The sequence below is a fragment of the Homo sapiens genome, chromosome 10, assembly GCF_000001405.40.
Source record: "Homo sapiens chromosome 10, GRCh38.p14 Primary Assembly".
NCBI classification, from domain to species: domain Eukaryota; kingdom Metazoa; phylum Chordata; class Mammalia; order Primates; family Hominidae; genus Homo; species Homo sapiens.
In genome coordinates, this window is record NC_000010.11 from 41,822,435 (window position 1) to 41,842,372 (window position 19,938).

General features: G+C 35.7%; 13 annotated features.

Annotated features, from left to right (window-relative positions):
- Positions 7,821-8,393: an enhancer, noted in NCBI's record as "OCT4-NANOG-H3K27ac hESC enhancer chr10:42409382-42409954 (GRCh37/hg19 assembly coordinates)". NCBI's record gives its function as "activates a minimal SCP1, AML or CMV promoter by ChIP-STARR-seq in naive H9 embryonic stem cells {active_cell/tissue: H9 hESC(naive)}" and the evidence as "EXISTENCE:reporter gene assay evidence [ECO:0000049][PMID:30033119]".
- Positions 8,394-8,967: an enhancer, noted in NCBI's record as "OCT4-NANOG-H3K27ac hESC enhancer chr10:42408808-42409381 (GRCh37/hg19 assembly coordinates)". NCBI's record gives its function as "activates a minimal SCP1, AML or CMV promoter by ChIP-STARR-seq in naive H9 embryonic stem cells {active_cell/tissue: H9 hESC(naive)}" and the evidence as "EXISTENCE:reporter gene assay evidence [ECO:0000049][PMID:30033119]".
- Positions 9,220-9,797: an enhancer, noted in NCBI's record as "OCT4-NANOG hESC enhancer chr10:42407978-42408555 (GRCh37/hg19 assembly coordinates)". NCBI's record gives its function as "activates a minimal SCP1, AML or CMV promoter by ChIP-STARR-seq in primed H9 embryonic stem cells {active_cell/tissue: H9 hESC(primed)}" and the evidence as "EXISTENCE:reporter gene assay evidence [ECO:0000049][PMID:30033119]".
- Positions 9,909-10,774: an enhancer, noted in NCBI's record as "OCT4-NANOG-H3K27ac hESC enhancer chr10:42407001-42407866 (GRCh37/hg19 assembly coordinates)". NCBI's record gives its function as "activates a minimal SCP1, AML or CMV promoter by ChIP-STARR-seq in primed H9 embryonic stem cells {active_cell/tissue: H9 hESC(primed)}" and the evidence as "EXISTENCE:reporter gene assay evidence [ECO:0000049][PMID:30033119]".
- Positions 10,775-11,642: an enhancer, noted in NCBI's record as "OCT4-NANOG-H3K27ac hESC enhancer chr10:42406133-42407000 (GRCh37/hg19 assembly coordinates)". NCBI's record gives its function as "activates a minimal SCP1, AML or CMV promoter by ChIP-STARR-seq in primed H9 embryonic stem cells {active_cell/tissue: H9 hESC(primed)}" and the evidence as "EXISTENCE:reporter gene assay evidence [ECO:0000049][PMID:30033119]".
- Positions 11,684-12,185: an enhancer, noted in NCBI's record as "NANOG hESC enhancer chr10:42405590-42406091 (GRCh37/hg19 assembly coordinates)". NCBI's record gives its function as "activates a minimal SCP1, AML or CMV promoter by ChIP-STARR-seq in primed H9 embryonic stem cells {active_cell/tissue: H9 hESC(primed)}" and the evidence as "EXISTENCE:reporter gene assay evidence [ECO:0000049][PMID:30033119]".
- Positions 13,171-13,791: an enhancer, noted in NCBI's record as "OCT4-NANOG-H3K27ac hESC enhancer chr10:42403984-42404604 (GRCh37/hg19 assembly coordinates)". NCBI's record gives its function as "activates a minimal SCP1, AML or CMV promoter by ChIP-STARR-seq in naive H9 embryonic stem cells {active_cell/tissue: H9 hESC(naive)}" and the evidence as "EXISTENCE:reporter gene assay evidence [ECO:0000049][PMID:30033119]".
- Positions 15,265-15,764: an enhancer, noted in NCBI's record as "OCT4-NANOG-H3K27ac hESC enhancer chr10:42402011-42402510 (GRCh37/hg19 assembly coordinates)". NCBI's record gives its function as "activates a minimal SCP1, AML or CMV promoter by ChIP-STARR-seq in naive and primed H9 embryonic stem cells {active_cell/tissue: H9 hESC(naive and primed)}" and the evidence as "EXISTENCE:reporter gene assay evidence [ECO:0000049][PMID:30033119]".
- Positions 15,765-16,266: an enhancer, noted in NCBI's record as "OCT4-NANOG-H3K27ac hESC enhancer chr10:42401509-42402010 (GRCh37/hg19 assembly coordinates)". NCBI's record gives its function as "activates a minimal SCP1, AML or CMV promoter by ChIP-STARR-seq in naive H9 embryonic stem cells {active_cell/tissue: H9 hESC(naive)}" and the evidence as "EXISTENCE:reporter gene assay evidence [ECO:0000049][PMID:30033119]".
- Positions 16,768-17,532: an enhancer, noted in NCBI's record as "OCT4-NANOG-H3K27ac-H3K4me1 hESC enhancer chr10:42400243-42401007 (GRCh37/hg19 assembly coordinates)". NCBI's record gives its function as "activates a minimal SCP1, AML or CMV promoter by ChIP-STARR-seq in naive and primed H9 embryonic stem cells {active_cell/tissue: H9 hESC(naive and primed)}" and the evidence as "EXISTENCE:reporter gene assay evidence [ECO:0000049][PMID:30033119]".
- Positions 17,533-18,298: an enhancer, noted in NCBI's record as "OCT4-NANOG-H3K27ac-H3K4me1 hESC enhancer chr10:42399477-42400242 (GRCh37/hg19 assembly coordinates)". NCBI's record gives its function as "activates a minimal SCP1, AML or CMV promoter by ChIP-STARR-seq in naive and primed H9 embryonic stem cells {active_cell/tissue: H9 hESC(naive and primed)}" and the evidence as "EXISTENCE:reporter gene assay evidence [ECO:0000049][PMID:30033119]".
- Positions 18,299-19,064: an enhancer, noted in NCBI's record as "OCT4-NANOG-H3K27ac-H3K4me1 hESC enhancer chr10:42398711-42399476 (GRCh37/hg19 assembly coordinates)". NCBI's record gives its function as "activates a minimal SCP1, AML or CMV promoter by ChIP-STARR-seq in naive and primed H9 embryonic stem cells {active_cell/tissue: H9 hESC(naive and primed)}" and the evidence as "EXISTENCE:reporter gene assay evidence [ECO:0000049][PMID:30033119]".
- Positions 19,065-19,831: an enhancer, noted in NCBI's record as "OCT4-NANOG-H3K27ac-H3K4me1 hESC enhancer chr10:42397944-42398710 (GRCh37/hg19 assembly coordinates)". NCBI's record gives its function as "activates a minimal SCP1, AML or CMV promoter by ChIP-STARR-seq in naive and primed H9 embryonic stem cells {active_cell/tissue: H9 hESC(naive and primed)}" and the evidence as "EXISTENCE:reporter gene assay evidence [ECO:0000049][PMID:30033119]".

Sequence of the window (19,938 nt, forward strand, 5' to 3'; positions counted from 1 at the left end):
TTCACAGTAGGCCTTAAACCTGTCATTAATATCCCTCTGCAGTTACTAAAAAAAGACTTTTTCCAAACTGCTCCATTAAAAGAAAGGTTCAAGTCTGTTAGATGAATGCACACATCACAAAGAAGTTTCTCAGAATGCTTCTGTCTAGTTTTGATGTGAAGATGTTTCCTATTCACCATAGGCCTCAAATCTTTCCAAATATCCATTTGTAGATTCTACAAATAGAGTATTTCTAACCTACTCAATGAAGAAAAAGTTTCAACTGTGTGAGATGAATGCACACGTCACAAAAAAGTTTCTAAGAATCCTACTGTCTAGTTTTTATCTGAAGGTATTTCCTTTTTCACTGTAGGCCTTAATCTGGTCTCAAATATGCCTCTGCAGATACTGCAAAAAGAATGTTCCAAACTTCTACATGAAAAGAATGCTTCAACTCTGTGAAATGAATGCACACATCACAGAGAAGTTTCTCAGAATGTTTCTGGCTAGTTTTTATGTGAAGATATTTCCTTTTTCACCATTGGCCTCAAAACGCTCCAAATATCCTTTTGCGAATTCTACAAAAAGGCTGTTTCCAAACAGATCAATCAAAAGAATGGTCCAACACTGTGAGATGAAAGCATACATCACAAAGAATTTTCTCAGAATGTTTCTGTCTAGTTTTTATGTGAAGATATTTCCTATATCACCATAGGCCATAAAGTGCTCACAAATGTCCCTGTGAAGATTCTATGAAAAGACTGTTTCCAAACTGCTAAATGAAAAGAAAGGTTCAACTCTGTGATATGAATACCCACATCACAAGGAAGTTTCTCAGAATGCTCCTGTCTAGTATTTATCTGAAAAAATTTCTTTTTCACCCTAGGCCTCAAAAGTCTCGGAAATATCCCTTTGCAGATTGTACAAAAAGACTGTTTCCAAACTGCTCATTCAAAAGAAAGGTTTAACTCTGTGAGCTGAATGCAGGCATCACAAAGAAGTTTCTCAGAATGATTCTGTCTAGTTTTTATGTGAAGGTATTTCCTATATTACCATAGACCACAAAATGCTTCAAATATCCACTTGTAGATTCTACAAAAAGACTCTTTCCGATCTCCTAAATCACAAGAAAGGTTCAGCTCTGTGAGATGAATGCACATATCACAAATAAGTTTCTCAGAATGCCTCTGTGTAATATTTATGTGAGGATATTTCCTTTTTCACCATAGGCCTCAAAGCGCTCCAAATACCCATTTGCAGATTCTACAAAAAGAGTGTTTCCAACCTGCTCAATCAAAAGAAAGGTTCAAGACTGGGAGATGAATGCACACATCATATAGAAGTTTCTCAGAATGCTTCTGTCTAGTTTATATATGAAGATACTTATTTTTCACCATAGGCCTCAATTGCTTTGGAAATATCCCTTTGCAGATTGTACAAAAAAACTATTTCCGAACTGCTCAATGAAAAGAAAGGTTTAATTCTGTGAGATGAATGCAGGTTTCACAAAGAAGTTTCTCAGAAAGATTCTGTCTACTATTTATGTGAAGATATTCCCTTTTTCATCATAGGCCTCTAAGTGCTCCAAATATCCATTTGCAGAGTCTACAAAAACACTTTTTCCAAGTTGATCAATCAAAAGAAAGTTTCAACTCTGTGAGATGAATGGACACATCAAAAAGAAGTTTCTCAGAATGCTTCTGTCTAGTTTTTATGTGAAGATATTTCCTTTTTCACCATAGACCTTATACCTGTCATTAATATCCCTTTGCAGATACTAAAAAAGGACTTTTTCCAAACTGCTCCAGTAAAAGAAAGGTTCAACTCTGTGAGATGAATGAACAAATCACAAAGAGGATTCTCAGAATGCTTCTGTATAGTTTTTATGTGAAGACATTTCCTTTTAACCGTAGGCCTCAAAGCATTGCAAATATCCATTTGCAAATTCTACAAAAACACTGTTTTCAAACTGCTCAATGAAAAGAAAGGTTCAAGTGGGTCCGATGAAAGCATACATCACAAAGACGCTTCTCAGAATGCTTCTGTCTAGTTTTTATGTGAAGAAATTTCCTTTATCACCATAGGCCTCAAAGCCCTCCAAATATCCATTTGCAGATTCTACAAAAAGAGTGTTTCCAAACTGCCCAATCAAGGGAAAGTTTCAACTGTGAGAGATGAATGTGCACAACACAAAACAGTTTCTCAGAATGCTTCTGTCTAGTTTTTATGTGAGGATATTTCCTTTTTCACCATAGGCCTTAAACCGGTCACAAATATCCCTCTGTAGATACTACAAAAAGATTGTTTCCAAAGTGCTCCATCTAAGGAAAGGTTCAACTCTGTGAGATGAATGTACACATTACAAAGTTTCTCAAAATGCTCCTGTCTAGATTTTATGTGAAGAAATTTCCTTTTCCACCATAGGCCTCAAAGCCTTCCAAATATCCACTTGCAGATCTTAAAAAAGGTTGATTCCAAACATTTCAATCAAAAGAAAGATTCAACTCTGTGAGATGAATACACACATCACAAAGAAGTTTCTCAGAATGCGTCTGTCTAGTTTTTTTTGTGAATATATTTCCTTTTTCACCATAGGCCTCAAAATGCTCTAAATATACATTTGCAGATTCTACAAAACGAGTGTTTCCAACTGCTCAATCAAAAGAAAGGTTCAACTCTGTGAGATGAATGCACACATCACAAAGAAGTTTCTCAGAATACTTCTGTCTAGGTTTTATGTGAAGATATTTCCTTTTTCACCATAGGCCTTAAACCAGACAGAAATATCCCTCTGCAAATACTACAAAAAGACTGTTTCCTAACTGGTCCATCAAAAGAAAGGTTCATCTCTGTGAAATGAATGAACATATTGCAAAGAAGTTTCTCAGAATGCTTCCGTCTAGTTTTCATGTGAAGATATTTCATTTTCATCATAGGCCTCAAAATGCTCCAAATATCCATTTACAGATTCTACAAAAACACTGTTCCCAAACTGCTCAATCAAAACAAAAGTTAAACTATGTGAGATGAAAGCATACATCACAAAGAAGTTTATCAGAAAGCTTCTGTCTGGTGTTTATGTGAAGATATTTCCTATTTCACCATAGACCACAAAGGGCTCACAAATATCCCTGTGCAGATTCTATGAAAAGACTGTTTCGAAACTGCTAAATCAAAAGAAAGGTTCAATTTTGTGAGATGAATGAACATATCAAATTGAAGTTTCTCAGAAAGCTTATATTTAGTTTTTATGTGAAGATATTTCATTTTTCACCATAGTCCTCAAAGCGCTCCAAATATCCTCTTGCAGATTCTACTAAAGGAGTGTTTCCAACCTGCTCAATCAAAAGAAAAGTTTAACTCTGTGAGATGAATGCACACATCACAAAGAAGCTTCTCAGAATACTTCTGTCTATTTTTTATGTGAAGTTATTTCCCTTTTCACCACAGGCCTTAAACTGGTAACAAATATCCCATGGCAGAACTACAACAAAACTGTTTCCAAAATGCTCAATCAAGGAAACGTTCAAATCTGTTAGATGAATGCTCACATCAGGAAGAAGTTTCTCAGAATGCTGCTGTCTAGTTATTATGTGAATATATATCCTTTTTCACCATAGGCCTCGAAGCGCTCCAAAAATAAATTTGCAGATTTTACTAAAAGACCGTTTCAAACTGTACAAGCAAAAGAAAGTTTCAACTCTGTGAGATGAATGAAAACATCAAAAAGATGTTTCTAAGAATGCTTCTGTCTAGTTTTTGTGTGAAGATATTTCCTTTTTCACAATAAATCTTAAATTGGTCACAAATATCCCTCGGCAGATACTACAAAAAGACTGTTTCCAAACTGCTCAATAAAAAAAGGTTGGTTCATCTCTGTGTGATGAAAGCACACTTTATGACAAACTTTCTCAGAATGCTTCTGTCTAGTTTTTATGTGAAGATATTTAATTTTTCACCGTAGTCCTCAAATCACTCCAAATATCCATTTGCAGATTTAAAAAAAGATGGTTTCCAAACTGCTAAATCAAAAGAAAGCTTCATCTCTGTGAGATGAATGCACACAACACAAAGAAGTTTATCCGAATGCTTCTGTCTAGTTTTTATGTGAAGATATTTCCTTTTGCACCAGAAGCCTGAAAACCTCCAAAAATCCATTTAGAGATTCTACAAAAAGACTATTTACAAACTGTCCCATCAAAAGAAAAGTTCACCTCTGTAAGAAGAAAGCATACATCAAAAAGGAATTTCTCAGAAAACTTCTGTCTAGTTTTATGTGATGATATTTCCTCTTTCACCATAGGCCATAAAGGGCTCACAAATATACCTGTACAGATTCTACAAAAAGTCTGATTCCAAATTGCTCCATTAAAGAAAGTTTCAACTCTGTGAGATGAATGCAAGCATCACAAAGAAATTTATCAAAATGCTTCTGTCTAGTTTTTATGTACACATATTTCTTCTTCACCAAAGTCCTCAAAGTGATCCAGATATACATTTACAGATTCTACAAAAAGAGTGTTTCCAACCTGCTCAATAAAAGGAAAGATTCAACTCTGTGAGATAAAAGCACACATCACAAAGAAGTATCTCAGAAAGCTTCTGTGTACTTTTCATTTGAAGATATTTCCTTTTTCACAATAGGCTTCAAAGCGCTCCAAATATCCATTTTCAGATTCTACAAATAGAGGGTTTCCAAGCTGCTTACTCAAAAGAAAGTTTCAACTCTGGGAGATGAAAGCACACATCACAAAGATGTTTCTCAGAATGCTTCTGTCTAGTTTTAATGTGAAGATATTTCCTTTTTCTCCATATACCTTAAACCTGTCACAAATATCCCTCTGCAGATACTACAAAAAGACTGTTTCCAAAGTGCTTCATCAAAAGAAATGTTCGACTCTGTGAGATGAATGCAGGCATCGCAAAGAAGTTCCTCACAATGCTTCTGCCTAGTTTTTCTGTGAGGATATTTCCTTTTTCAGCATAGGCCTCAAAGAGTGTTTCCAAACTGCTCAATGAAAAGAAAGGTTCAACTCTGTGAGATGAATGCACACATCACAGAGAAGTTTCTGAGAATGCTTCAGTCTAGTTTTTAAGTGAAGATATTTCTTTTCCACCATAGGCCTCAAACGGCTAAGAAATATCCATTTGCAGATCGTACAAAAAGACTGTTTCCAAGCTGCTCAATCAAAGGAAAGGTTCAATTCTGTGAGATGAATGCAGGAATCTAAAAGAAGTTTCTCAGAATGCTTCTGTCTGGTTTTTATGTGAAGATATTTCCATTATCACTATAGGCCTCAGAGCGCAACAATTATCCATTTGCAGATTCTACAAAAAGACTGTTTCCAAACTGCTCAATGAACAGAAAAGTTCAGCTTGGTGAGATGAAAGCATACATCACAAGGAAGTTTCTGATAAAGTTTCTCTCTATGTTTTATGTGAAAATATTTCCTATTTCACCATAGGCCATAAGGGGCTCAAAAATAACCCTGGCAGAATTTATGAAAATACTGTTTCCAAACTGCTCAATCAAAAGAAAGGTTCAACCTTGTGAGATGAATGCACACATCAAAAAAAGTTTCTCAGGATGCTTCTGTCTACTTTTACTGAGAAGATATTTCTTTTTCACTATAGGCCTCAAACGGCTCCGAAATATCCCTTTGCATACTGTACAAAAAGACGTTTTCCAAATTGCTCAATAAAAAGAAAGGTTCCACTCTGTGAAACGAATGTAGGAATCACAAAGAAATTTCTCAGAATGCGTTTGTCTAGTTTTTATGTGCTCATATTTCCTTTTTCACCATGGGCCTCAAAAGGCTCCAAATATCCATTTGCAGATTCTACAGAAAGACTGTTTCCAAACTGCTCAGCCAAAGGAAAGGTTCAACCCTTTGAGATAATTGCACACATCACAAAGATGTTTCTCAGAATGCTTTTGTTTAGTTTTCAGGTGAAAATATTTCCAGTTTCACCATAGGCCTCAAAGTACTCCAAATACCACTTGCAGATACTACAAAAAGAGTGTTTCAAAACTGCTCAGTCAAAAGAAAGTTTCAACACTGTGAGATGAATGCACATATCACAAAGAAGTTTCTCAGAATGATTCTGTCTAGATTTTATGAGGAGATAATTCCTTTTCCATTATAGGCCGCAAAGCACACCAAATATCCACATGCAGATTCTACAAAAAGAATGCCTCAAAACTACTCAATCAAAAGAAAGGTTCAACACTGTGAGATGAATGCACACATCACAAAGAAGTTTCCCAGAATACTTCTGTCTAGTTTTTATGTGAAGATATTTCCATTTCCACAATAGGCCTCAAAGCACTCCAAATATCCACTTGAAGATTCTACAAAAAGTGTGTTTCAAAACTGCTCAATAAAAAGAAAAGTTCATCTCTGTGAGATGAATGCACACATCACAAAGATATTTCTCAGAATAATTCTATCTAGTTTTAATGTGAAGACATTTCCTTTTCCACCATAGGCCACAAAGCACTCCAAATAACCATTGGCAGATACTACAGAACGACTGTTTCCAAACTGCTCAATCAAAAGAAAGGTTCAACTCTGTGAGTTGAATGCACACATCAGAAAGTAGTTTCTCAGAATGCTTCTGTCTAGTTTTTAGGTGAAGATATTACCCTTTCCACCATAGGCCTCAAAGCAGTCCAAATATCCACTTGCAGATTCTACAAAAAGAGTGCTACAAAACTGCTCAATCAAGGCTGGAAAACCCTCCAAATATCCACTTAGATATTCTACAAAAAGAATGTTTCAAAACTGCACAATCAAAAGAAAGTTTCAACTCTGTGAGAGAAATGCACACATCACAAAGAAGTTTATCAGAAAGCTTCTGTCTAGTTTTGATGGGAAAATATTCCCTTTTCCACCATAGGCCTCAAAGCACTGCAAATATCCATTTGCATATACTACAGAAAGACTGTTTCCAAATTGCTCAATCAAAAGAAACTTTCAACCGTGTGAGTTGAATGCACACATCACAAAGAGGTTTCTCAGAATCCTTCGGCTGCATTTTTATGTGAAGATATTTTCTTTTCTACCATAGACCTCAAAGTGCTCCAAATATCCACTGGCAGCTTCTACAAAAAGAGTGTTTTAAAACTGCTCAATCAAAAGAAAGGTTCAACTCTGTGATTTGATTGCTCACTTCACAAATCAGTTTCTCAGAATGCTCCTGTCTAGTTTATATGTGAAGATATACCCTTTTCCACCATAAGCCTCAAAGCGCTCTACTTATCCAATTGAATATTCTGCAAAAAGAGTGTTTCAAAACAGCTCAATCAAAAGAAACATTCAACTATGTGGGATAAGTGCACACATAAAAAAGAAGTTTCTCAGAATGTTTCTGTCTAGTTTTTATGTGAAGATATTTGCTTTTTGACTATAGGCCACAAAGCACTCCAAATATCCACTTGCAGATTCTACAGAAAACGTGCTTCAAAAGTGCTCAATCGAAAGAAAGGTTCAACTCTGTGAGATGAATGCACACATCACAAAGAAGCTTCTCAGAGAGCTTCTGTCTAGTTTTTATGTGAAGATATTTCCTTTTCCACTATTGGCCTCAAGGAGTTCCAAATATACATTTGGAGACATTATAAAAAGTCTGTTTCCAAACTGCTAAGTGCAAAGAAAGTTTCAACCCTGTGAGATGAATAAACACATCACAAAGAAGTTTCTCAGAATGCTTCTGTCTAGTTTTTATGTGAAGATATTTGATTTCCAACATAAGTCCCAATGCACCCCAAATATCCATTTGCTGATACTACAAAAAGACTGTTTCCAAACTGCTCAATGAAAAGAAAGGTTCAACTCTGTGAGTTGAACACACAAATCACAAAGTGGTTTCTCAGAATGATTCTATCTAGTTTTATATGAAGATATTTCATTTTCTACAATAGGCTTCAAAGCACTCTAAATATGCTCTTGAAAATTCTACAAAAAGAGTGCTTCAAAACTGCTCTATCAAAAGTAAGGTTCAAATCCATGAGGTGAATGCACACATCACAAAGAAGTTTCTCAGAATTCTTCTGTCTAGTTTTATAAGAAGAAATCCCGTTTCCAAAGAAGGCCTCAAAGAGGTCCAAATATCCACTTGCAGATTCTACAAAAAGAGGGTTTCAAAACTGCTCTATCAAAAGAAAGGTTAAACTCAGTGAGGTGAACACATATCACGAAGTGCTTTCTAAGAATGATTCTGTCTCGTCTTATATGAAGATAATTTGTTTCCTACAATAGGCTTCAAAGCAGTCTAAATATGCACTTGGAAATTGTACAAAAAGAGTGTTTCAAAACAGCTCTAATGAAAGGAGTGTTCAAAACTGTGAGTTCAATGCACACATCACAAAGAAGTTTCTCTGAATTCTTCTGTCTAGTTTTATATGAAGAAATCCCGTTTCCAACGAAGGCCTCAAAGAGGTCCAAATATCCACTTGCAGACTTTACAAACAGAGTATTTCATAACTACTCTATCAAAAGAAAGGTTAAACTCTGTGAGTTGAACGCACACATCACAAAGTAGTTTCTGAGAATGATTCTGTCTAGTTTTTATACAAAGATATTTCCTTTTCTACCATTGGCCACAAAGCGCTTTAAGTCTCGACTTGCAAATTCTACAAAAAGAGTGTTTCAAAACTGCTCTATTGAAAGGAAGGTTCAACGCTGTGAGTAGAATGCACACATCACAAAGAAGTTTCTGAGAATTCTTCTGTCTACTTATATATGAAGAAACCTGTTTCCAACAGAGGCCTCAAAGAGGTCCAAATATCCACTTGCAGATTCTACAAAAAGAGGGTTACAAAATTGCTCTATCAAAAGAAAGCTTAAACTCTGTGAGGTGAACACACACATCACAAAGTGGTTTCTGAGAATGATTCTGTCCAGTTTTTCTATGAAGATAATTCGTTTTCTAGCAGAGGCTTCAAAGCAGTCTAAATATGCACTTCGAAATTACACAAAAAGAGTTTCAAAACAGCTCTAACGAAAGGAGGATTCAAAACTGTGTGTTCAATGCACACATCACAGAGAAGATTCTCAGAAATCTTAAGTCTAGTTTTATATGAAGAAATCCCATTTCCAACGAAGGTCTCAAAGAGGTCCAAATATCCACTTGCAGACTTTACAAACAGAGTGTTTCAAAGCTCCTCTATCAAAAGAAAGGTTAAATTCTGTGAGTTGAACTCACACATCACAAAGTAGTTTCCGAGAATGATTGTGTCTAGTTTTTATACCAAGATATTTCCTTTTCTGCCATTGGCCACAAAGCGCTTTAAATATCCACTTGCAAATTCTACAAAAAGAGTGTTTCAAAACAGCTCTATCTAAAGGAAGGATCAACTCGGTGAGTTGAATACACTCAACAAAAAGAAGCTACTGAGAATTCTTCTATCTAGCTGTATAGGAACAAATCCCGTTTCCAAAGAAGGCCTCAAAGAGGTCCAAATATCCACTTGCAGATTCTGCAAAAAGAGTGTTTCAAAACCGCTCTATCAAAAGGAATGTTGAACTCTGTGAGTTGAATGCAAACATCACAAATTAGTTTCTGAGAATGCTTCTGTCTAGTTTTTAGGGTAAGATATTTCATTTTCTACAATAGGCCACAAAGCCCTCTAAATATACATTTGCAAATTCTACAAAAAGAGTGTTTCATATCTGCACTATCAAAAGAAAGGTAAAACTCTGTGAGTTGAACTCACACATCACAAAGTAGTTTCTGAGAATGATTCTGTCTAGTTTTTATACGAAGATATACCCTTTTCTACCATTGTCCCACTTTAAATGTCCACTTGCAAATTCTACAAGGAGAGTGTTTCAAAACTGCTACATCAAAAGAAAGGTTAAAATCTGTGAGTTGAAAACACACATCACAAAGCGGTTTCTGAGAATGACTCTGTCTAGTTTTTATATGAAGATATTTCATTTTCTACCATAGGCTTCACAGCATTCCAAATATGCACTTGGAAATTCTACAAAAAGTGTGTGTCAAAACTGTTCTATTGAAAGGAAGGTTCAACACTGTGAGTTCAATGCACACACCAGAAAGAAGTTTCTCAGAATTCTTCTTTCTAGTTTTATATGAAGAAATCCCATTTCCAACGAAGTCCTCAAAGAGGTCCATATATCCACTTGCAGACTTTACAAACAGGGTTTCAAAGCGGCTATATCAAAAGAAAGGTTAAACTCCGTGAGTTGAACACACACAGCACAAATTAGTTTCTGAGAATGATTCTGTCTAGTTTTTATACAAAGATATTCCCTTTTCTGACATAGGTCTCAAAGCGCTTGAAATCTACACTTGCAAATTCTAGAAAAAGAGTGTTTCAAATCTTCTCTATCTAAAGGAAAGTTCAACTCTGTGAGTTCAATACACTCAACACAAAGAAGCTACTGAGAATTCTTCTGTCTAGCTTTATATGAAGAAGTCCCATTTCCAAAAAAGACCTCAATAGTTCCAGATATCCATTTACAGATTCTAGAAAAAAAGTGTTTCAAAACAGCTCTATCAAGAGGAATGTTGACCTTTTGATAGAGTAGTTTCTGAGACTACTTCTGTCTAGTTTTTATACGAAGACATTTCGTATTTATACGAAGATATGACGTTTTCTACCATTGGTCTCAAAGTGCTTTAAATCTCCACATGCAAATTCAAAAAAATGAGATTTTCAAATCAGCTCTATCTAAAGGAAGGTTCAACTCTTTGAGTTGAATACACACAACACAAATAAGTTTCTGAGAATGATTCTGACTGGTTTTTATACGAAGATATTTCCTTTTCTACCATTGGCCTCAAAGTGCTTTAAATCTCCACTTGTAAATCCTACTAAAAGAGTGTTTCAAATCTGCTCTATCTAAATGAAGGTTCAACTCTCTGAGTTGAATACACTCAACACAAAGTAGTTACTGAGAATTTTTCTGTCTAGTTTTATATGAAGAAATCCCATTTCCAATGAAGGCCTCAATGACGACAAAATATCCACTTGCAGACTTTACAAACAGAGTGTTTCCAAACTGCTCTATCAAAAGAAAGGTTAAACTCTGTGAGTTGAATGCACGCATCACAAAGCAGTTTCTGAGATTGATTCTGTCTAGATTTTATACGAAGATATTTCCTTTTCTACCATTGGACTAAAAGCGCTTTGACTCTCCACTTGCAAATTCTACAAAAAGAGTGTTTCAAATCTGCTCTATCTAAAGGAAGGTTCAAGTCTGTGAGTTGAATACTCTCAACACAAAGAATTTACTGAGAATTTTTCTGTCTAGTTTTAAATGACTAAATCCCGTTTCTATGAAGGCCTCAAAGAGGTCCAAATATCCACTTGCAGATTCTACAAAAACAATGTTTCAAAACTGCTCTATCAAAAGGAATGTTGAACTCTGTGGGTTGAATGCAAACATCACAAATTAGTATCAGAGAATGCTTCTGTTTAGTTTTTATGGTAAGATATTTCCTTTTCTAGCATAGGCCCCAAAGCCCTCTAATTACACCCGTGCAAATTCTACGAAAAGAGTGTTTCATAACTGCTCTATCAAAAGAAAGGTTAAACTCTGTGAGTTGAACGCACACATCACAACATGGTTTCTGAGAGTGATTCTGTCTAGTTTTTATACGAACATATTTCGTTTTCTACCTCAGGCTTCAAAGCACTGTAAGTATGCACTTGGAAGTTCTACAAAAAGAGTCTTTGAAAACTGCTCTTTTGAAAATAAGGATCAACTCTCTGAGTTCAATGAACCCATCACAAAGAAGATTCTCAAAATTCTTCTGTCCTGTTTTGTAGGAAGAATTCCCGTTTCCAATGAAGGCCTCAAAGAGGTCAAACTGCCCACTTACAGACTTTACAAACAGAGAGTTTCAAAACTGCTCTATCAAAAGAAAGGTTAAATTCTGTGAGTTGAACGCACACATCACAAAGTAGTTTCTGAGAGTGAATCTGTCTAGTTTTTATATGAAGATATTTCCTTTTCTACCATAGGCCTCAAAGCGCTTTAAATATCCACTTGCAAATTCTACAAAAGGAGTGTTTCAAATCTGCTCTCCCTAAAGGAAGGTTCAACTCTGTGAGTGGAATGCACACATCACAAAGAAGTTTCTCAGAATTCTGTCTTGTTTTATATGAAGAATTCCCATTTCCAACGAAGTCCTGAAAGAGATCCAAATATCCATTTGCTTACTTTACAAACAGAGTGTTTCAAAACAGCTCTTTCACAAGAAAGGTTAAACTCTGTGAGTTGAACACACACATCACAAAATAGATTCTGAGAATGATTCTATCTAGTTTTTATATGAAGATATTTCTTTTCACATATAGGCCTAAAAGTTCTCAAAATATTAACTTGGAAATTCTACAAAAAGAGTGTTTCAAAACTGCTCTATCGAAAGAAAGGTTCAACACTTTGAGTTGAATACACAAATCCAAAGAAGTTTCTGAGAATTCTTCTGTCTAGTTTTATAAGAAGAAACCCGTTTCCAACGAAGGCCTCAAAGAGGTCCAAATATCCACTTGCAGATTCTACAAAAAGAGGGTTTCAAAACCACTCTATCAAAAGAAAGTTTAAACTCTGTGAGATGAACACACACAACACAAAGTGGTTTCTTAGAATGATTCTGTCTCGTTTTTATAAGAAGATAATTCATTTTCTACCATAGGCTTCAAAGCAGTCTATGCACTTGTAAATTCTACACAAAGAGTGTTTCACAACAGCTCTAAAGAAAGGAGGGTTGAAAATTGTGAGTTCAATGCACAAATCACAGAGAAATTTCTCAGAATTCTTCTGTCTAGTTTTATATGAAGAAACCCCGTTTCCAATGAAGGCCTCAAAGAAGTCCAAATATCCACTTGCAGACTTTACACACACAGTGTTTCAAAACTGCTCTATCAAAAGAAAGGCTAAACTCTGTGAGATGAATGCACACATCACAAAGTAATTTATGAGAATAATTCTGTCTAGTTTTTATACGAAGATATTTCCTTTTCTAACACTGGCCTCAAAGTGCTTTAAATCTCAACTTGCAAATTCAACAAAAAGAGTGTTTAAAATCTTCTCTATCTAAATGAAGCTTCAACTCTGTGAGTTGAATACACACAACACAAACAAGTTACTGAGAATTTTTCTGTCTAGTTTTATATGAACAAATCTCATTTCCAATGAAGGCCTCAAAGAGGTCCAAATATCCACTTGCAGATTCTACAAAAAGAGTGTTTCAAAACTGCTCTATCAAAAGGAATGTTGAACTCTGTGAGTTGAATGCAAACATCACAAATTAGTTTCTGAGAATGCTTCTGTCTAGTTTTCATGGTAAGCTATTTCCTTTTCCACAATAGGCCACAAAGCCCTCTAAATACACCCTTGCAAATTCTACAAAAAGAGTGTTTCATAACTGCTCTATCAAAAGAAAGGTTAAACTCTGTGAGTTGAACGCACGCATCACAACGCGGTTTCTGAGAATGATTCTGTCTAGTTTTTATATGACGATATTCCGTTTTCTGCCATAGGCTTCAAAGCACTCTAAGTATGCACTTGGAAGTTCTACAAAGGAGTGTTTCAAAACTGCTCTTTTGAAAGTACGGTTCAACATTGTGAGTTGAATGCACACATCCAAAAGGGGTTTCTCAGAATTCTTCTGTCTTGTTTTATATGAAGAATTCCCTTTTCAAATGAAGGCCTCAAAGACGTCCAAATATCCACTTGCAGCTTCTACAAAATAAGTGTTTCAAAACAGCTGTATCAAAAACAATGTTGAACACTGTGAGTTGAACGAAAACATCCCAAAGTAGTTTCTGAGAATGAATCTGTCTGGTTTTTTATGAAAATGTTTACTTTTCTAACATAGGCCTCAAAGTGCTTTATAAATCCACTTGCAAATTCTACAAAAGGAGTGTTTCAAAACTGCTCTATCAAAAGAAATGTTAAACTCTGTGAGTAGAACACACACAACACAAAGTTGTTTCTGAGAATGATTTTGTCTACTTTTTATATGAAGATATTCCTTTTTTTACAATAGGCTTCAAAGCACTCTAAATATGCCCTTGGAAATTATGCAAAAAGTGTGTTTCAAAACTGCCCTATCGAAAGGATGGTTCAACTCAGTGAGTTGAATGCACACATCACAAAGAATTTTCTCAGAATTCTTCTGTCCAGTTTTATAAGAAGAAATCCCGTTTCCAAAGAAGACCTCAAAGAGGTCCAAATATCCACAGGTTTACTTTACAGAGTGTTTCAAAACAGCTCTTACAAAAGAAATGTTAAACTCTGTGAGTTTTACACACACATCACAAAATTGATTCTCAGAATTATTCTATCTAGTTTTTATATGAGATATTTCCTTTCATAATATAGGCCTGAAAGTTCTCACAATATTTACTTTGAAATTCTACAAAAAGTGTGTTTCAAATCTGCTCTGCCAAAGGAAGTTTCAACTCTGGGAGATGAATCTCCACCTCAAAAGAAGTTTCTCAGAAATCTTCTGTCTACGTTTATAAGAAGAAATCCCATTTCCAATGAAGGCCTCAAAGAGGTCCAAATATCCACTTGCTTACTTTACAAACAGAGTGTTTCTAAACACCTCTTTCAAAATAAAGGTTAAACTATGTGAGTTGAATGCACACATCACAAAATAGATTCTGAGAATGATTCTTTGTAGTTTTTACATGAAGATATTCCTTTCCTCATATAAGCCTAAAAGTTCTCAGAATGTTAACTTGGAAATTCTACAAAAAGAGTGTTTCAAAACTCCTCTATCGAAAGTAAGGTTCAACACTGTGAGTTGAATACACACATCACAAAGAAGATTCTGAGAATTCCTCTATCTAGTTTTGTATGAAGAAACCCGTTTCTAATGAAGGCATCAATGAGGTCCAAATATCCACTTGCAGATTCTACAAAAAGAGGGTTTCAAAACTGCTCTATCAAAAGAAAGGATAAACTCTGTGAGGTGAACACACACATCACATAGTGGTTTCTGAGAATGATTCTGTCAATTTTTTTATGAAGATAATTCCTTTTCTGCAATAGGATTCAAAGCAGACTAAATATGCACTTCGAAATTCTACAAAAACAGCGTTTCAAAACAGCTCTAAAGAAAGGAGGGTTCAAAACTGTGAGTTCAATGCACACCACAAAGAAGTTTCTCAGAATTCTTCGGTCTATTTTTATATGAAGAAATATCGTTTCCAATGAAGGCCTCAAAGAGGTCCAAATATCCACTTGCAGACGTTACAAACAAAGTGTTTCAAAACTTCTCTACCAAAAGAAAGGTTAAACTCTGTGAGTTGAACGGAGACATCACAAAATAATTTCTGAGAATCATTCTTTCTAGTTTTTATACAAAGATATTTCTTTTTCTACCATTGGCCACAAAGTGTTTTAAATCTCCACTTGCAAATTCTACAAAAAGAGTGTTTCAAATCTGCTCTATCTAAAGGGAGGTTCAACTCTGTGAGTTGAATACACTCAACACAAAGAAGTTACTGAGAATTCTTCTGTCTAGCATTATATGAAGAAATCCCGTTTCCATCGATGGCCTCAAAGAGGTTCAAATATCCACTTGCAGATTCCGCAAAAAGAGGGTTTCAAAAATGTTCTATCAAAAGGAAAGTTGAATTATGTGAGTTGAATGCAAACATCACAAAGTAGTTACTGAGAATGCTTCTGTCTAGTTTTTATGGTAAGATATTTCCTTTTCTACCATAGGCCACTAAGCCCTCTAAATACACCATTGCAAATACTACAAAGAGAGTGTTTCATAACTGCTCTATGGAAAGAAAGGTTAAACTCTGTGAGTTGAACGCACAGATCACAACGTGGTTTCTGAGAATGATCCTGTCTAGTTTTTACATGAAGATATTTCATTGTCTCCCGTAGGCTTCAAAGCACTTTAAGTATGCACTTGGAAGTACTACAAAAAGAGTGTTTGAAAACTGCTCTTTCAAAAGTAAGGTTCAACTCTGTGACTTGAATGCACACATCACAAAGAAGTTTCTCAGAATTCTTCGGTCTTGTTTTATATGAAGAATTCCCGTTTCCAACGAAGGCCTCAAAGAGGTCGAAATATCCGCTTGCAGAATTTTCATACAGAGTGTTTCAAAACTGCTCTATCAAAAGAAAGTTTAAATTCTGTGAGTTGAACCCCCACATCACAAAGAAGTTTCTAAGAATGAATCTGTCTAGTTTTTGTATGAAGATATTTCTTTTTATATCGTAGGCCTCAAAGAGCTTCACATATCCACTTGCAAATTATACCCAGTGTTTCAAAACTGCTCTATCAAAAGAAAGGTTAAACACTGTGAGTTGAATGCACAAATCACAAAGAAGTTTCTCAGAATTCTTCTGTCTAGATTTATAAGAAGAATTCTCGTTTCCAACGAAGGCCTTAAAGAGTTCCATATATCCACTTGCTTACTTTACTAAAAGAGTGTTTCAAAACAGCTCTTTCAAAAGAAACGTTAAACTCTGTGAGTTGAAGGCACACATCACAAAATAGGTTCTGAGAATGATTCTGTCTAGTTTTCATTTGAAGATATTTCCTTTTCTAATATAGGCATAAAAGTTCTCACAACATTAACTTCGAAATTCTACAAAAAGAGTGTTTCAAAACTTCTCTATCCAAAGTAAGGTTCAACACTGTGAGTTGAATACACACACCACAAAGAAGTTTCTAAGAATTCTTCTGTCTAGTTTTATATGAAGAATCCCGTTTCCAATGAAGGCTTCAAAGAGGTCCAAATATCCACTTGTAGATTCTACAAAAAGAGGGTTTCAAAACTGCTCTATCAAAAGAAAGGTTAAACTCTGTGAAGTGAACACACACATCACAAAGTGGTTTCTGAGAATGATTCTGTCTAGTTTTTATATGAAGATAATTCGTTCTCTACAATAGGCTTCAAAGCAGTCCAAATATGCACTTGGAAATTCAACAAAAAGAGTGTTTCAAAACAGCTGTAACGAAAGGAGGGTTCAAAACTGTGAGTTCAATGCACACATCACAAAGAAGTTTCTCAGAATTCTTCTGTCTAGTTTGATATGAAGAAATCCCGTTTCCAGCGAAGGCCTCAAAGAGGTCCAAATATCCACTTGCAGACTTTACAAACAGAGTGTTTCCAAACTGCTCTATGAAAAGAAAGCTTAAACTCTGTGAGTTGAACGCACACATCACAAAGTAGTTTCTGAGAATGATTCTGTCTAGTTTTTATACGAAGATATTTCCTTTTCTTCCTTTGGCCTCAAAGCGCTTTCAATCTCCACTTGCAAATTCCACAAAGAGTGTCTCAAATCTGCTCTGTCTAAAGGAAGGTTCAACTCTGTGAGTTGAATACACACAACACAAAGAAGTTACTGAGAATTCTTCTGTCTAACATTATGTGAAGAAATCCCGTTTCCAACGAAGGCCTCAAAGAGGTCCAAATATCCACTTGCAGATTCTGCAAAAAGAGTGTTTCCAAACTGCTCTATGAAAAGTAAGGTTAAACTCTGTGAGTTGAATGCACACATCACAAAGTAGTTTCTGAGAATGATTCTGTCTAGTTTTTATACGAAGATATTTCCTTTTCTACCATTGGCCTCAAAGCGCCTGAAATCTCCACTTGCAATTTCCAAAAAAAGAGTGTTTCAAATCTTCTCTGTCTAAAGGAAGGTTCAACTCTGTGAGTTGAATACACACAACGCAAAGAAGTTACTGAGAATTCGTCTGTCTACCACTATATGAAGAAATCCCGTTCCAACGAAGGTCTCAAAGAGGTCCAAATATCCACTTGCAGATTCTGCAAAGAGTATTTCAAAACCGCTCTATCAAAAGGAATGTTGAACTCTGTGAGTTGAATGCAAACATCACAACTTAGTTTCTGAGAACGCTTCTGTCTAGTATTTATGTAAGATATTTCCTTTTCTACCATAGGCCTCAAAGCCCTCTAAATACACCCTGGCAAATTCTACAAAGAGAGTGTTCCATAAGTGCTCTAATGAAAGAAAGGTGAAACTCTGTGAGTTGAATGCAGAGATCGCAACGTGCTTTCTGAGAAAGGTTCTGTCTAGTTTTTACATGAAGATATTAAGTTGTCTACCGTAGGCTTCAAAGCACTCTAAGTATGCACTTGGAAGTTCTACAAAAAGAGTGTCTGAGAACTGCTCTTTGGAAAGTAAGGTTCAACCCTGTGAGTTGAATGCACACATCACAAAGAAGTTTCTCAGAATTCTTCTGTCTAGTTTTATAAGAAAAATCCCGTTTCCAATGAAGGCCTCAAAGAGGTCAAAGTATCCACTTGCAGACTTTACAAACAGAGGGTTTCCAAACTGCTCTATGAAAAGAAAGGTTAAACTCTGTGAGTTGAACACACACATCACAAAGTAGTTTCTGAGAATGATTTTGTCTAGTTTTTATAAGAAGATATTTCCTTTCCTACAATTGGCCTCAAAGCGATTGAAATCTCCACTTGAAAATTCCACAAAAAGAGTGTTTCAAATCTGGTCTGTCTAAAGGAAGGTTCAACTCTGTGAGTTGAATACACACAACACAAAGAAGTAACTGAGAATTCTTCTGTCTAGCATTATATGAAGAAACCCCGTTCCAACGAAGCCCTGAAGGAGGTCCAAATATCCACTTGCAGACTTTACAAACAGAGATTTTCCAAACTGCTCTATGAAAAGGATGGTTAAACTCTGCGAGTTGAATGTACACATCACAAAGAAGTTTCTGAGAATGATTCTGTCTAGTTTTTATACGAAGAAATTTCCTTTTCTACCATCGGCCTGAAAACTCTTGAAATCTCCACTTGCAAATTCCACAAAAAGAGTGTTTCAAATCTGCTCTGTCTAAACGAAGGTTCAACTCTGTGAGTTGAATACAGCCAACCCAAAGAAGTTACTAAGAATTCTTCTGTCTAGCATTATATGAAGAAATCCCATTTCCAACGAAGGCCTCAAAGAGGTCCAAATATCCACTTGCAGACTTAACAAACAGAGTGTTTCCAAACTGCTCTATGAACAGAAATGTTAAACTCTGTGAGTTGAACACACACATCACAAAGTAGTTTCTGAGAATGATTCTGTCTAGTTTTTATACGAAGATATTTCCTTTCTACCATTGGTCTCAAATCTCTTGAAATCTCCACTTGCAAATTCCACAAAAAGAGTGTTTCAAATCTGCTCTGTCTAAAGGAAGGTTCAACTCTGTGAGTTGAATACACAAAACGCAAAGCAGTTACTGAGAATTCTTCTGTCTAGCATTATATGAAGAAATCCCATTTCCAACGAAGGCCTCAAAGAGGTCAAAATATCCGCTTGCAGACTTTACAAACAGAGTGTTTCCAAACTGCTCTATGAAAAGACAGGTTAAACTCTGCGAGTTGAACATACACATCACAAAGTAGTTTCTGAGAATGATTCTGTCTAGTTTTTATAGGAAGATATTTCCTTTTCTACCATTGGCCTCAAATATCTTGAAATCTACACTTGCAAATTCCACAAAAAGCCTGTTTCAATTCTACTCTGTCTAAAGGAAGGTAGAACTCTGTGAGTTGAATACACTCAACCCAAAGAAGTTACTGACAATTCTTCTGTCTAGCATTATATGAAGAAATCCCGTTTCCAACGAAGGGCTCAAAGAGGTCCAAATATCCACTTGCAGACTTTACAAACAGAGCGTTTCCAAACTGCTCTATGAAAAAAAAGGATAAACTCTGTGAGATGAATGCACACATCACAAAGTAGTTTCTGAGAATGCTTCTTTCTAGTTTTTATACGAAGATATTTCCTTTTCTTCCATTGCCCCAATGCACTTGAAATCTCCACCTGAAAATTCCACAAAAAGAGAGTTTCAAATCTGCTGTGTCTAAAGGAAGGTTCAACCCTGAGACTTGAATTAAACACAACACAAAGAAGTTACTGAGAAATCTTCTGTCTAGCATTATATGAAAAAATCCTCTTTCCATCGAAGGCCTCAAAG